The following is a 15,500-nucleotide window of genomic DNA, read 5'->3' as shown; positions in this document are numbered from 1 at the left end:
GCTATTAGGAGACTCTCCTTGTTTGTAGGAAATATACATTAAAATATTGAGAGATGATGGGACAACCTGTTAGCAACTTACTCTGTAATAATTCTGTCATTTAAACAAAAGTTATTCGAACTACTTGTAACAATTCTGTAAGTCTGAGAGTATTTTCAAAGAAAAAACTAAAAATCAATATCAAACTGAACCCCTTGATTTAAAAAAAAGGTAAAATTTATGTTATGGATGTTTAACCACAATAAAAAATATAAAGATGTTTTTAAAGTCTACTCAATAAGATAAAGCCACTTGAATGGGCAACATATAAACTGCAGTATCCTGGAGGATTGTGAAGGAAGTCACATGACTGTAGGAAGAACTGCCAATCTGTCCGTGCTGGGGAAGACTCACACTTCACCCAGGTGGTCATATCTCTGTGTAAACATCTTACATGCTGACTGAGTAAGGATGATTATCAATTTACAATTGAGTATTAGTAAATCTTCATTTATTTCATCTTTTTGGATAAAAAATACAAATAGGAGTTCTAAAAAGTTTTCTTTTGTGACCCTTAGGAGATTTACCTCCACTTTGGACATAATCAATTTAGAGAAATAAAAAAAAAGGTTTTGAGTTCAATAGTTGATGGAGACCCAAAGGGGAACTTGGACATTACCTTGAACTCTAAAGGGTGAAAGGAATTTGGCCAAGTGAAGGCTGATTGGCTGGGAGGGACTTTACATGGCCTAGGAAGCTTGAGTAGAAGTACAACTGGTTAATTATGTGCAGCAAACTGATCATAGTGAGAAATTAGCTCAGGTGAGGGGTTACAGGGTCCAGGTAGGTTTTAAGCCCTGAGTCTAATGAACTACCCTTCCTTCCCATTTAGTGTCCATGACTAAGCAAACACACATGCAACAGTTCCATAGAAAATTGGTGTGTGCCTGATGACTAACCCAGCCCCTGTAACCCAGTGCAGGACCTTGCCTGCAGGCTGCGTGGGAGAACATGCTTCAAGTGAACCTTAATGAGGTCTCTTGCTTTTCTTTGGATCTCTGTCGATTCCTCTTATCAAATCACTGGAGTCAGGGAACAAAGAGTAAGAAAAATATGCAGCGAAAAGTTCATTTACTAAACTTTTGGTTTCTGGGCTGGTGGATCACAAGCTGGAAAGTCATTACTCACGTCCTCAAATAATGTAAGCAATTCAACAGATGGAAAACTAACAATTAGACTCAACAGATAATTGAGGTCACAGGGCAAAATGCTGCCTCCAAAACTTGGAGGGATAGGCTGATAGAGACATGATCAGTGCCTTGCAGAAGCCAGGAAGCAAAAACCACAGCTGGGGCCAGTGCTGAGTAGGAAAACCTACACTGTTATTAATGAATTGCTGGGAGCTCAATGTGAACAAGTCTGAGAGAGAAAAGCTCCAGGGACATCCATTCTTATGGAGGCCTCCACGCTTTTGTGAATTTTACCTCTAGAGCCTACCAAGTTTTCTCAGTGAATACCAGAGAAAATTTCCCTCATGCTTCCGGCTGGAGGAGCCCAAAGCAGCCATGTTTTCCTAAAAGGGCCTGACCTCAGCAGAAGATATTTTACTAGAGCCTATGCCTGAGGTTTTACTTGAATCTAACCTGAGGGAAAAGAAATACTCAATTCCAGCTGAAAGAATCAATAAAATCTCCTGGAACTCATAAGTGATTATAGAAAGGTTGCAGTATATGAGGTTAATATACAAAAATCAATTGCTTTTCTATATGTCAGCAATGAAAAAGTGGCGTTTACAATTAAAAACACAATGCCATTTATATTAGCACCATACAAAGAAACATTTTGGTATAAATCTAACAAAGTGGGCTGGGTGCGATGGCTCATGCCTGTAATCCCAGCACTTAGGGAGACTGAGGCAGGCAGATCCCTTGAGGTCAGGAGTTCAAGACCAGCTTGGCCAACATGGTGAAACCCCATTTCTACTAAAACTACAAAAATTAGCTGAGCATAGTGGCACGTACTTATAATCCCAGCTACTCAGGAGGCTGAGGCAGGAGAATCGCTTGAACCCAGGAAGCAGAGGTTGCAGTGAGCAGAGATCATGCCACTGCACTCCAGCCTGGGCAATAGAGCAAGACTCTGTCTCAAAAAAACAAAACAAAACAAAAAACCAAAGTATGGACAAGATCTATATGAGGAAAACTTTAAAACGCTGAAGAAGAAATCAAAGAAGATTTAAATAAATGAAAAGACACTATATTTAAATGTGTAGGAAGATGCTATATGAAGGTGTAAGTTCTTTACAATTTGACCTATAGATTCAATGCAATCCCAATGAAATTACCAGTAAGTTATTTTTGGGAATACCAATGATCTAATCTTAAAGTTCACACTGAAAATTAAGAAACCAAGAATAGCCAAAACAATACTGAAGAACAAAGTCAGATAACTAAAACTACCCATCTTTAAGAGATACTATAAAGACAGTGTGGTATTGGTGAAAGAACAGACAAATAGATCAATGGGACAGAACAGAGAGATCCCAGAAATAGGCCCACACAGATACAGTCATCTGATCTTGACAAAGGAGCAAAGCAATTCAATGGAGAAAATAACCTTTTTGACAAATGATGCTGGAAATACTGGACATCCACATTCAAACATTTTAAAAAGGAATTAGACACAGACTTTCCATCCTTCATGAAAATTAACTCAAAATGGATCACAGACCTAAAGGTAAAATACAAAACTATAAAACTCCTAGAATATATAAATGAAAAACTAGAAAACCTTGGGTATGGTGATATAATACCAAGGGCATGATCCAAGAAAGAAAGAATGGATAAGCTGGATTTCATTAAAGTTAACAAATTCTGCTTTGTGAAAGACACTGCCAAGAGAATGAGGAGACAAACCATTTATGGGAGAAAATATTTGCAAAACATATATCTGATAAAAAATTGATTTCCAAATTATACAAAGAAATCTTAAGACTCAAGGTTAAGAAACCATAAGCAACCCAATGTAGAAATGAGCAAAAGATCTGAACAGTTTAACAAAGATATACAGATGGCAAATAATCCAATAAAGTTGCTAAACATCATGTATCACTAGACAATCATAAATTAATTACTGCACACTTATTAGAATGGGCAAACTCCAAAGCACTGACAACACCAACCACTGATGAGAATATAGGGAAACTGAAACTCTTCTTAATTGCTGGTGAAAATGATGTAGGATTTTTCTTTTTGGTCACTTTACAAGTCAAAGATCCCCAGCTGGTGATGCCCCACCTGGGCCTCACTCGGCCATGCTGGTGTGCCCTAGCTTGCCTATATTATAGCTTGTACCTGTGTTTGGTGGTTCTTGAGCTCTTGTACCGCACCCAAGAAGAATGAGAATATGCTGGACATTGAAGGGTGTGGAGGGAGGAGAAGAATTTCATTAAGCGAGGAAAATGGCTTTCAGCAGAGATGGGATGCAGTGTTGTTCCCCCTACCCAAAGGCAGGAAAGTCCTCCCATGTGGTTGGGTCTGGGGCTTTTATGGACTCAGAAGGGGGAGTGCATGCTGATTGGTTTGTGAGTATGCAAAAAAGGTTAAAGTGAAGATACCACTCAAAGGTGGACATGACAGTGTAGAAAACCAATTAGGAAAGGCTAGGTATATGTAAAATAGGTGAAGGATGGGATCAATCACAGGAAAGTGCGACAAACAGGAAGACAAATTCTCAATCTGGTTTGAGGATTTAACTTGTAGTTTGGCTTTCAAGCTTTAAACTGTGCTGGGGTTGGAGGTGGGGTTTCACTGAGGACTCACCCCTATCTGCCTAGGCATTTGGCTGCATCCTGCCACTCTCAAAAATACAAAATGATACAGCCACTTTGGAAGACAGTTTGGCAATTTCTTACAAAACTATGCATACTCTCACCACATGATCCAGCAGTCAGCAGTCATGCTTTCTGACATTTGCCTAAATGAGTTGAAAACATATACCCACACATAAACCTGCCCAAGGATGCTTATAGCAGATTTATTCATCGTTGCCAAAACTTTGAAGCAACCAATCTGTCCTTCAGCAGGTAAATGGATAAGCTGTGCTACATCCAAACAATGGAATATTATTCAGCATGAAAAACAAATGGAGCTATCAAGCCATAGAGAAACCTTAAATACACATTACTAAGTAAAAGAAGCCAATCTAGAAAGGCTACATACTATCTAATCCAAACTCTGTAACATTCTGGAAAATGCAAAACAATGGATACAGTAAAAAGATCAGTGGTTGTCAGGTCAGGGGTTGGGGGAGAAATGGATGAGTAGGTGGAGCACAGGGGATTTTTAGGGGTGTGTAATTATTATTTCATAGACTCTGTAACGGTGATTATCCATTTGTCAAGACCCGTAGAACGTTACCACAAATAATATTCCCTAATGTAAACTATGGACTTTACTTAATAATAATGTATCAATATTGGCTGGCCAATTATAAGAAATATACCACATTATTGTAAGATAATAATTGGGGCGATTGGGGAGAGAGGTATGGAGGTATATATGAGAACTCTGCATTTTTTTTCTCATTTTTTTCTGTAAACCTAAAACTGCTCAAAATAAAAGATCAGTGGATTCCAGGGACTCAGGGAGAGGGAAGGAGGAATGAATAGGTAAAATACAGAGGTTTTAGGGCAGTGAAACCATATTGTATGATCTAGTAGTGGTGGATACATATTGCAATGGTTAATATTGAGTGTCAACCTGACTGGATTATAGGATGCAAAGTATTGTTTCTGGGTGTGTCTGTGAGGGTGTTGCCAAGGGAGATTAACACTTGAGTCAATGGACTGGGAAAGGCAGACCCCCCCTCAATCTGAGTGGGCACCATCTAATCAGCTGCCAGCATGCCCAGAACAAAAGCAGGCAGAGAAAAATGGAAGGACTAGAATGTGCTGAGTCTTCTGGCCTCCATCCTTCTCATGTGCTGGATGCTTCCTGGTGTCAAACATCAGACTCCAGGTTCTTCAGCTTTGGGACTCTTGGACCTATACCAGTGGGTTGTCAGGGGTTCTCAGGCCTTCGGCCACAGACTGAAGGCTGCACTATCGGCTTCCCTACTTTTGAGTTTTTGGGACTCAGACTGGCTTCCTTGCTTCTCAGCTTGCAGACGGCCTATTGTGGGACTTCACCTTGTGATCGTGTGAGTCAATGCTCCTTAATAAGTTCCCCTTACATATACATCTATCCTATGAGTTCTGTCCCTCTAGAGAACCCTGACTAATACACATGACATACATTTGTCAAAACCCATAGAATGTACAATGGAGAGTGAACCCTGTGATAATGTATCAATATTGGTTCATCAATTGTAGCAAATGTTTCACACTAATACAACTTAAATAAGAGGAGAGAGTAGGGGTAAGGGTGGGTGGGAGAGGTGATATGGTGAACTCTGTGCTTTCCTATCAATGTTTCTCTTAACTTAAAACTGCTCTAAAAATTGTCTGCTAATTGTATTTTTTAAAGTACACTTGCCCCTTTTGTCTAGTGCTGAGCTGGTCCCTAGACTACCCATCCCATGGTGAAGGCAATGGTCTTGGCTCACATGTCACCCAGACAAGGGAGCAGAAAAAAATGGTTAAAATTCAGTGATGGATCCTGGTTTCTGACTTTCCATGTGCATGGAAGTGAGAAAAATGGAAACGTGGGATTATAGTGCCACTAAATACCTTCTGCAGCACAGAAACCTCTCTCACTAGTAATGTGTAAATGTAATAACACCAGTAACTTTTTTTCTGACTGAAAACAAGTAGCAATTTATTTCCCCTTGATGATAAAAGGGCCAGAAGCCTTTCCAAATCCCTTTCCCCATGGGACAAGATTGGAGCTTCGGGAAGTGTATGGGCACCATAAGTCTGAGTGGGGCCATTTGTTGGGGGAGGTAAGGAGCAAACAAAGATGTCACAATGTCCTGTGCTAGGAAAGAGGAAAACATTCTCATTCCTGCAGCCAAGGAATAACCTGATGAAAAACTGTTTCAAATTGGAGTGATGACTTCTTTGGAGAAATGCTTATGCAAGTTTTTTTTCCCCCATTTTTCAACTGGGTTATTTGTTTGTTTTTTTGCTATTGCATTGTAGATTTTTACATAGTTTAGATATTAACCCCTTATACCTGTTATTAACAGTATGCATACTTTAAAATATGTTTAAGATAGTTGATCTCATGTCAAGTGTTCTTGCAAAAAAAAAAAAATCCAAAAACTAAAACCAAAACCACACACAAAAGGACATAAGAAAATGTTTGGAGGTGATGGGCATGTTTAATGCATCGTTTGCAGTGATGGTATCACAGGTATATGCACATGCCCAAATCCATCCAGATGTATCCATTAAGTGTGTGCATGTTTTCATATAACAATTATACATTCATAAAGCCAAAAAATGTTGAGGGATGATTTATTGGCTATCAGGGGTTGCAGCAATGAACAAAATGGGAATACTCCTTAAAAATAAAGAATACTGAGATTAAATAACTAAGAAAGGCAGAAATTGCTGCTTGCTATACGTCAACAATAAATGAGCAAGAACCAAAGATGTCACCATGGTTTTCAGTCTGGAAGACTGAAATTCTCTTTTGGCCTTGTGCACAACCTGCCATCTAAGAGCACTGAGTTAATTATTTAATCAATACTGCTATGCCCTCCATGGGCTGTCATCCCAAGTAAAGCCCTTGGGAGCTTCATGCATACAGCTGTGGATGACAATCATGGCTTGGCCTGTGTTGCTGGTATTCTAAAAGATGTCTGATACCATGCAATGCAGCACTGCATGTCCCTGGTAAGCTTGGTGTTGGTGGTTCTGTAACCTAATTCTCCTGCTTGGCATTCTGCAGGTGGAATATCACCCTTACCTCAACCAAAGCAAACTCCTGGAGTACTGTAAGTCCAAGGACATTGTCATGACTGCATATTCTGCCTTGGGGTCTGACTCAGACAAAGACTGGTAATCATCTTCATAAAGTTATTTTGTTTATTTTTTTTAGGTGGGGGTCTCATTCTGTCATCCAGGCTGGAGTGCAGGGGCACAATCACAGCTTGTTGCAGGCTTGACCTTCCAGGCTCAAGTCAGGATCTTCCCTCCTAGACCTCCTAAGTAGCTGGGACTACAGGAGTGCACCACCATGCCTGGCTAATTGTTTATTTTCATTTTTGTAGAGACAGGGTCTCACTACGTTACCCAAGCCAGTCTTGAATTCCTGGGCTCAAGTGATCCTCCCACCTTGGCCTCCCAAAGTGCTGGGATTAGAGGTGTAAGCCACGGTGACTGGCCTATAAAGTTATTTTAATCATAGATACTGTACCTTCCGAAGTAATCTCTCAATCAGCTGGCAAAATTAAAAATAGACAGCAGGAATAAATTCATCTGTAAACCTTTTACCTAACCCAGACCTACATTATAAGAACTAAATAGAACTGCCACCTTCCATTCCTTTGTCCTTCTTTGGTTATAACAAAAGATGCAAAACAGATATTGAGACAGCCAGAAGGTAATGAGGAAGGTTCTGGAGGATTAGCATCCCTGGCCAAAATAAGCAGCCCGCAAGTAAAATGGATATTCAGCCTCAGACTTGCAGCACCTCTGCCTCTCCTCTCAGGGTGAAAAAAGGAAACCCAGTTCTCCAGGAGGATCCAATACTCAATGCCATTGCTGAAAAGCCCAGGCGAACTCCAGCCCAGGTTGCCTTGTGCTACCAGCTGCAGCGCGGGGTGGTGGTCCTGGTGAAGAGCTTCAATGAGAAGAGAATCAAAGAAAACTTCCAGGTACAGGGCATGGTGGTGGCAGCAGGGGATTGACAGAGGCACATCATTTCCCCACGGTATCTGAGTTTTTGCAAAGCTCTCAAGGTATATTTGGGCAAAGCTTATCTCCTTTTACATTCTATGCATATAAGCATATAAGCACCATATTTAATTGCTTTGTCTCCCCTTGCTGCAAGGGAGAGTGTGATGGTTGGAAAGGACACTAAAGAGAAGGTCAGGAGAGGGTCCTAATCCGGGTTTTTCCCCTATAGTATGGCGCTGGGTAAGTCATCCCTTGATTTCTATAGCTGTAAAATAAAGGAATTAGATCACGTGAGGTTTGGGCTTAAAATTCTCTAGGATTTCTTTGCTATCATGATGGCTCCCCAATAAAAGTATCTGAGGGAAGATTAACCATGCCAATCTCAACTTTATAAATGGACAAATTCCCATGACATGCCACTGAATGAATCCTTGGTCCATGAAAACTCACTCATAAAACCTACACAAAGTCCTACATGGATTTGTCTGTTTGTGGAGAGGGGAGAAGAGGAACAGCAATTGCCTCAAGGATATTAAATTGATCTTCTCACGTTTCTGACAGGTTTTTGACTTCTAGCTGACACCAGAGGACATGAAAACCACAGATGGCTTGAACAAGAATATATGCCATTTGTAAATGTCTATGTAAGTAGCTTGTTTCGTTGTTGACACTAGGGAGCAGGACAGTGGGGGAATTCCATTGATTTCAGCCCACAGAAGGCAGGGTTTGTTGCTTAGGAAAGTTGTTGGAAAACATTTTTTCTTCAGACTTCATATCAGACATTTTTTTTTCTCCAAGGCTCATAGCTCTGCCCAGACAAGAGTGTGAGCAGAACTCAATAGAGACGGAAGCTCCCCGTTTAAGACTGGGCTCTCCTGGCTCCACACTGCCTCTGTGTGTCCCTCATCACTAGGCTTCCCTCCAATCTACATGCTAATAATTCCATGGTTTCTATCTCTAACCTAGACATTTTTCTTGGTCTCTTGTAGCCCACTGATTTTCTTTTAAATTAAAATTCCCTAGAGATAGTTCTATTTATTCCCACAGTTCAAACTTAATACACTTAAAATTAAAGCCTTCAATGTTTTCTCTATATATACTCTTCATGGTAATACTACACACATCACCATTATGGCACAAACCTCATCCCCTACATCTAAATAACCACCTAGTCCTGTTGATTCTATATTTCAACATTTCTCATGTTGATTCTAAATTTCAACATTTCTCATGTTTCTCTAATTTCCATCACAAAGCCCACCCCCTCTGATTCAGGTTTTGAACCTGAATCAGCTCTCTTGCAAGGCTGGCCACAGGGGTGGATCTTCAGCTGTGGTTTCTGAACAATGTTCAGAACTTTGCTCAGGTCTGGGGGGGTTTTCAATAGTAAAGAGTAAGCAGGTTCGGAAAATCAAGAAGGAAAAAGGGAACAGGCTGAGTATCAAGCAAATGGAGGTGATAATGAAAATCCAATGGCAGGAAAAAAGTTATTTCCAAAGATAGACTTTTAATGGCCCTTCAAACTTTTAGACTCTATGATTCTCAGAAGGCTGTAGAGAAAAATCTGTAAGCTATTTTTTTTTCTGTTCAGTGACATTTAGTACATATATGTATGTAAACATCTCCAAACACGGGAAGAGCAAGCAATCCAGTAGCTCCTGGACAGACTCCCATCCTCCCCTGCCAACCAGCCCCTTAACTCCCTTGAGGCTAACATGGTCTTTGTCACTGTTAGTTCAGTCACTACAGGAGCCTAAAATTCCTGGTTCCCAAATAGCTCTGTGTACACCACCTCAACATGTTTTCACTGTGCTTTCTGAAACTCCTACTCAACCACTGGCAAAACCGTTTTATCTTTGTTGTCTTCTCTAAATGTTCTTTTCACCTTTTCCCAATAGCTGAAACCCCATTTCTCTTGGTAGCACTGATTCCTGTCAGCCCTCTCCAGTTGGGGCTGTTATCCTTCCCAAGACCTTAGTAGTGCTAAGCCTGAATATTGAGTAGGAACTCTCTTTCTAAAAGCATTCAGCTCTGGACTTTGTGTCATCAGACAAACCCAGCACTACCCCTGTCCTTTGCAGTCATCAGGGCTGCATTCCCAGGTCTTCTCTCATCCACCGAAGATTTTAGTTCCTAGTTTTCATCCTCTCCAACAGTAGACCTGCCATAATTTCTTTTGATTTCAACACTACAGAGACAGTCCTTGTAATAGTCTGATCTTTCAGTTTTGTGACTTTCCTCTTCCAATGTGTTTATCCTTCAGTCTAACTCAGCCTATCAACCTAATGGTCTCATTCTAGACCTTGTCATTACGAGTTACTATAACCATGCCTGGATGTCAATTTTAAATTCTTACACTATAGTCATCACCTCCTACATGTCCCGCTCCTTCTCTACATGGCCAACTTCAACAATCCTTTGATTACCACATGAGCTATAATTCACTGACCGTACCACCTTTTCACTGTTACTTGACCCTCTAATGTGCCCTCTGTCCTTCTTTGCCTACTTAAATTATGGGGTCAATCAATATACCAACATCCTTGTAAATACCCTCAACCCTTGCCATTTCTTCTAATGTTCTTTGCTGGTTTCTCTGCATTAGCTTGACCTCTCAGTTTTGGAGTGACTTAGAGCTCAACCTAGACCTCTTCTCCTTTCTCTATCTACTTTAACATCATTGTTGATTTCATCTAGTCTCATGCTTCAAATATCATCTAAATATAGATTCCCCAAATCATATCCAGCCCAGTTCAAGGCTCTGGAGCAAGGTTTGTATATGTGTCTACTTGCCTCTACTTGGATATCTACTATGCATCTCCAACTTATCATGTCTGTAACTGGGCTCATACTGGTATCTGCAATCCCTTCCCCAATACACACAGACACACAGACACACACACACACACACACACACACACACACACACCCCACACTCATACCGATATCTTTATGATAAAGTAACTGGCTCCTGGTAGTGCTCCCTCTTCTGTACTTCAGCACCAGGCATAGTAGCCACAGTGAACAGGTTAAAAAGGGTGTACACAGGAACTCCTCAATATGTGGGAGACTGCCATCTCACTCAGAGTTGAGACCAAATTCCTTACACAGACCTACAAGGGCCAATAGACACTCCCTCCCTTAACTCTCTGTGTCCCTGTCCTGCTATTCTCCCCACTCTTGACTCCAATGGAGCACCAGTGACCTCCATGCTGTTCCTGACTGTATTAGTCCATTTTCACACTGCTGATAAAGACATACTCAAGACTGGGTAATTTACAAAAGAAGAGAGGTTTAATGGACTTACAGTTCCAAGTGTCTGGGGAAGCCTCACAATCATGACAGAAGGCAAGGAGAAACAAGTCGCGTCTTACATGGATGGCAGCAGGCAAAAAGAGAGCCTGTGTAGAGAAACTCCTGTTGTTAAAACCATCAGATCTCGTGAGACTCATTCACTATCACAAGAACAGCGCAGGAAAAACCCACCCTCATAATTCAACCACCTCCCACTGGGTTCCTCCGACGACACATGGGAATTGTGGGAGTTACAATTCAAGATGAGATTTGGGTGGGGACACAGCCAAACCACATCACTGACATATGTCAGGCCTGTCTTAGGGCCTTTCCACTGGCCATTCCCCCTGCCTAGAAATCTCTTTCCCCATAGAGCAGGATTGCTCACTCCTTTACATCCTTCAGGTCTTCACTCATATATCACTCGATGATGCCTTCTCTGTCACTTATCTAAAAATGCAACTCGTCCTAGAAGAGCCTTTCTCTCTATTCTGATTTATTTTTGTGCTTGACACATATCCCTAACTTACACACCATATATTTTACTAGTTTATTTAGCTTATTTTATCTTTACCACATTAGAGTGTTAGATTCTAAGGGCAGGGTTTTTGTTTTGTTTTTGTTCTTAAACTAGTCTCTCCCTGGGTACTCAATACATATTGGTTGAATAAATAACATAATAAAATGAGAAACAGGGTAGGGGTAACAGAGAGTGGAGATGCAGGCAGGAACCCCTAACAATAAATATCAGTAATATTAATCAACAATAACTATTCAATGACTTGGCATTTTCTATGTCAAAAATTATTACTTCATATACAGAAAGAATTTGTATCCCCCTTGCTAAAATGGAACTACCCCATTGAAGTGACTTCATCTTCTAACCACTGTATCTCTCTCTAGGTATAATATAAAATTTTCTCCCAAGAAAAGTCATAGACAAATCATTTCTGAATGTTTGACATACATTGAACAGTAATAATTTTATCACCTTCCTCATTATCACCTTAAAATATTTATTAACTTTATATATTAAATCAGACTAAGCATTGTTTTAAAAAAGAGAGAATTTGTTTCTGCCCTCCTGGAGGTTCAAAATATAAACACAAATAGTTTATCTCCTCAAGCTGTAGAATGACATATTGCAAAAATGGAATGCACTGGTATATTTGTGAATGTGTGCCCACGTGTGTAGGTATATTTATTTTCCACAGTGTATTCAAAACAGCATCATGCAATAGTATGTTATTATCATAAAACTAGTTGGGTTTGTACTTAACTCACAAAGAAAACTGTGTTAATTGTAGGCTCACACCAGTTTAACAGAAATCTGTCTTTATGAGCCCAGAAACAATGACTAAGACTTTCCCTTTCCTTTTCAGCTTTTCTCATCACCCAGATTATCCATTTCTTGATGAATATAAAGAAAAGAGTCTGTGGTTGTTCCAGAGTTTATTGATTTGGGTTGAGATGAATAGAGAATATCTCATGGATGGGAAGTTTTCTAGTTTATTCCAGATTGATTAGCCTGCTCAGTCACAAGTTGGCCTAAGACCCCGGATCAGAAAATAAAAGTATCTAAACCTAGTTTTCTCTTGATTCCCGCCCCCACCCCACCCCCACAACTGCCAAAATAAAGATGTATTTGAAATAACCTAATCTGCTGCAGCCTTGGCATTTGCTTTTTTGTTTCTTTCCCATCTCACTGAGGCTAAAATGCTGACATCCCTGGAAGGGGTGATCACAATGGATGTGAATCTCTCAAAAAAATGCTAATAATTTGGTATACCTTCAAATTTGCAAAATCTACATTTTTTACTTGTTTGTAGTTCTTGAGCATTTTTTCTTTTCTGTGAATTATCCACACTATACAAATATATTAGATATTATAAATGAATGTAAAACTTAATATATAACACCCAAAATGTCCAGGTTTTAATTTTAAAAGTTACTTATCATACCAAGAACAAGGATGGTCTCAAGTTGAATAAATAAAGATAAGCAACAGATGGTACACCCAGATGATCAAGATATTATAATTATCTGACCAAGATTTTAAAGCAACCATTGTAAAAATGTTTCAACAAACAATTATAAACACACTTGCAACAAATGAAAAAACAAAAAGTTTCAATAAAAAATTAGAAAGTTTTAGAAAAGAAATAGAAGATAAATGAATAACCAGATTTGGAAATTTTAGAACTGAAAAACACAATACACAAAATTAAAATTTTAATCAATGGAATCAATAGCATAACATAAGAAATAGAGGAGATAATTATTGATCTGGAAGATAAAGCAATATAAATCATCCAAGAGGAGCAACAGGGAGAAAAGAGACAGAAGAAAAGGAACAGAGCTTCAAGGACTTGTAGAACTATAACAAAAGACTTAACGTTCATGCCATCAAATCCTGAAAAGAAAGGAAGCAAAGGGTGGGCTGGAAAAGTGCTTAGAGAAATAATGGCTACTTTAATTGCTGAAAGCTTTTCAAATTTAGAAATACACATAAACCTACAGAGTAAGAAGATAAGTGATCTTCAAACAATATAAACCAAAAGAAATGCACACCAAGACACATCATAATTAAATGCATGAAAACTAAAAGAAAAGCTTGTGAAAAAGCAAGAGAAAAATGTCACCTAACCTATAGAAAAAAAAAAGAATTCAAATAATTGTGAGTTTATCATCAAACAACCATGGAGGCAAGTAACAATAATTTTCAAATGCTGAAAGAAAATAATTTTCAATCCAGAATCTTGTATCCAGCAAAAATATCTTTCAAAATAAAAGAGACATCAAGGCATTTGCAGAAGGTAAAATAAAAGATTTTTTTTCCAGAAGACCTAACCTAAAATAACGGCTAAAGTAAGTTCTCTAAACAGAAAGAAAATGGAAAAAAAATAGAACCTTGTAACATCAGGAAGAAAAAAATAACAAATATGCAAGCAAAAATATGGGTAAACGCAGTAGATTGTTCTTGCCCTCTTGAGTTTTCTAAATGATGTTTGGCAATTGAAACAAAAACTAAATGTCTTATATGGTTTTAAATGGATGTGGTAGAAATATGTAATGAAATTCTATTATAAATGGGGGAGGGTAAAGGAACATGAAGGGAGGTAAGGATTTTGTACTTCTTTCAAAGTGATAAGATAATGACACCAATACACTGTGATAATTGTGTGTATGTAATGTAATACCAATAGCAACCAATGCTATACAAAGAGAAACACCAAAAAATGCTATGTATTAATCAAATTGCATCCAACAGGATCTAACTGGGATTTATAGAACATTCTACCTAACAATAGCACAAAACAGATTCTTTTCAAATTCCCAAATCACATAATCAAGCAGACCATATTCTGGCCATAAAACAAACCACAACATATAGAAAATAACCAAAATTATAAAAACCTGAACAAATAGAAATTAATTGAAATTATACGGAGTATGTTATCCAACGAAAAATGAATCAAATTAGAAACCAAAAACAGAACAGTAACATGAAAGTCACCAAACTCTTGGAAATTAAACAACACACTCCTAAATAATCCACAGGTAAAACAGGAAGTCTTGAGCGAAATAAAAAAGTACATTGAACTGAATGAAAATAAAAACGCAACATATCAAATTGTGTAGAACACAGCTAAAGTAGTGCCAAGAGGAGGGTTTATAGAAAAAAGGGGAAAAGTCTTAAATCAACTATCTAAGCTCTTATCTCAAGAACCTAGAAAAGGTAGAGCAAAATAACCCAAAGCAAGCAGAACTATGGAAATAATAAATAGAGGAGCTGAAATCAATGAAATTGAAAAGAAAAAAACAGAGAAAAAAAATGAAGCAAAGAATTGGTTGTTTGAAAAGATAAAGTTCAAGCAAGCTTCTAGCAAGACTGACATAAAAAAAGAGAGAAGATATAGACTACCAACATAAGGAATGCAACAGGGAATTATGCTATAGATCCTGTAGAAATAAACAGGATGGTAATGGGGTACTACAAACAACTCCACACATACACTTCACAAGTTATATAATGGACCAATTCCCCTGAAAAATACCCAAGCTACCACAACTCACCCAACATAAAATAGATCATTTGAATAGCCCTATTACTAAATTGAGTTTATAATTTTAAAACTCCCAAATAGAAGTCTCCATGTCCAATTTCACTGGGGATTGCTTATAAATGTTTATAGAAGAATTAACACCAATTCTATACAATCGCTTCAGAAAACAAAAGAGGAGGGAACACTTCCCAGTTCATTTTACAGAGCTAGCATTACCCCAATATGAAAATGAGACAAAAACGGAAAGGAAGAAAGAAATAAAACTAAGAACAATATCTCTCAAAAATATAGATGTGAACATCCTCAACAAAATATTA

At 38.6% G+C, this 15,500-nt stretch overlaps 1 protein-coding gene and 1 pseudogene across 2 annotated transcripts in view, besides 1 other annotated feature; one reads left to right on the top strand and one right to left on the bottom strand.

Annotated features, from left to right (window-relative positions):
• Positions 1–12,770, top strand: part of AKR1C6P (aldo-keto reductase family 1 member C6, pseudogene) — a 44,607-nt pseudogene extending 31,837 nt beyond the window's left edge. The window contains exons 8-11 of the transcript NR_026743.1: positions 6,873–6,982; positions 7,635–7,800; positions 8,384–8,466; positions 12,499–12,770. The product of NR_026743.1 is annotated as an aldo-keto reductase family 1 member C6, pseudogene (transcript). The remainder of the gene's footprint in view (positions 1–6,872; positions 6,983–7,634; positions 7,801–8,383; positions 8,467–12,498) is intronic.
• The window catches only part of AKR1E2 (aldo-keto reductase family 1 member E2), a 48,265-nt gene continuing 43,964 nt past the window's right edge, over positions 11,200–15,500 (bottom strand). The window contains exon 11 of the transcript XR_001747220.2: positions 11,200–11,223. The gene's annotated coding sequence lies outside the window, so the exon portion shown is untranslated. The remainder of the gene's footprint in view (positions 11,224–15,500) is intronic.
• Positions 13,265–13,792: an enhancer, noted in NCBI's record as "NANOG hESC enhancer chr10:4912837-4913364 (GRCh37/hg19 assembly coordinates)". NCBI's record gives its function as "activates a minimal SCP1, AML or CMV promoter by ChIP-STARR-seq in naive H9 embryonic stem cells {active_cell/tissue: H9 hESC(naive)}" and the evidence as "EXISTENCE:reporter gene assay evidence [ECO:0000049][PMID:30033119]".

Source organism: Homo sapiens, chromosome 10, assembly GCF_000001405.40.
Source record: "Homo sapiens chromosome 10, GRCh38.p14 Primary Assembly".
NCBI classification, from domain to species: domain Eukaryota; kingdom Metazoa; phylum Chordata; class Mammalia; order Primates; family Hominidae; genus Homo; species Homo sapiens.
The sequence above is the reverse complement of the archived record's forward strand: the minus strand, read 5'-3'. Positions and strand labels throughout refer to the sequence as shown.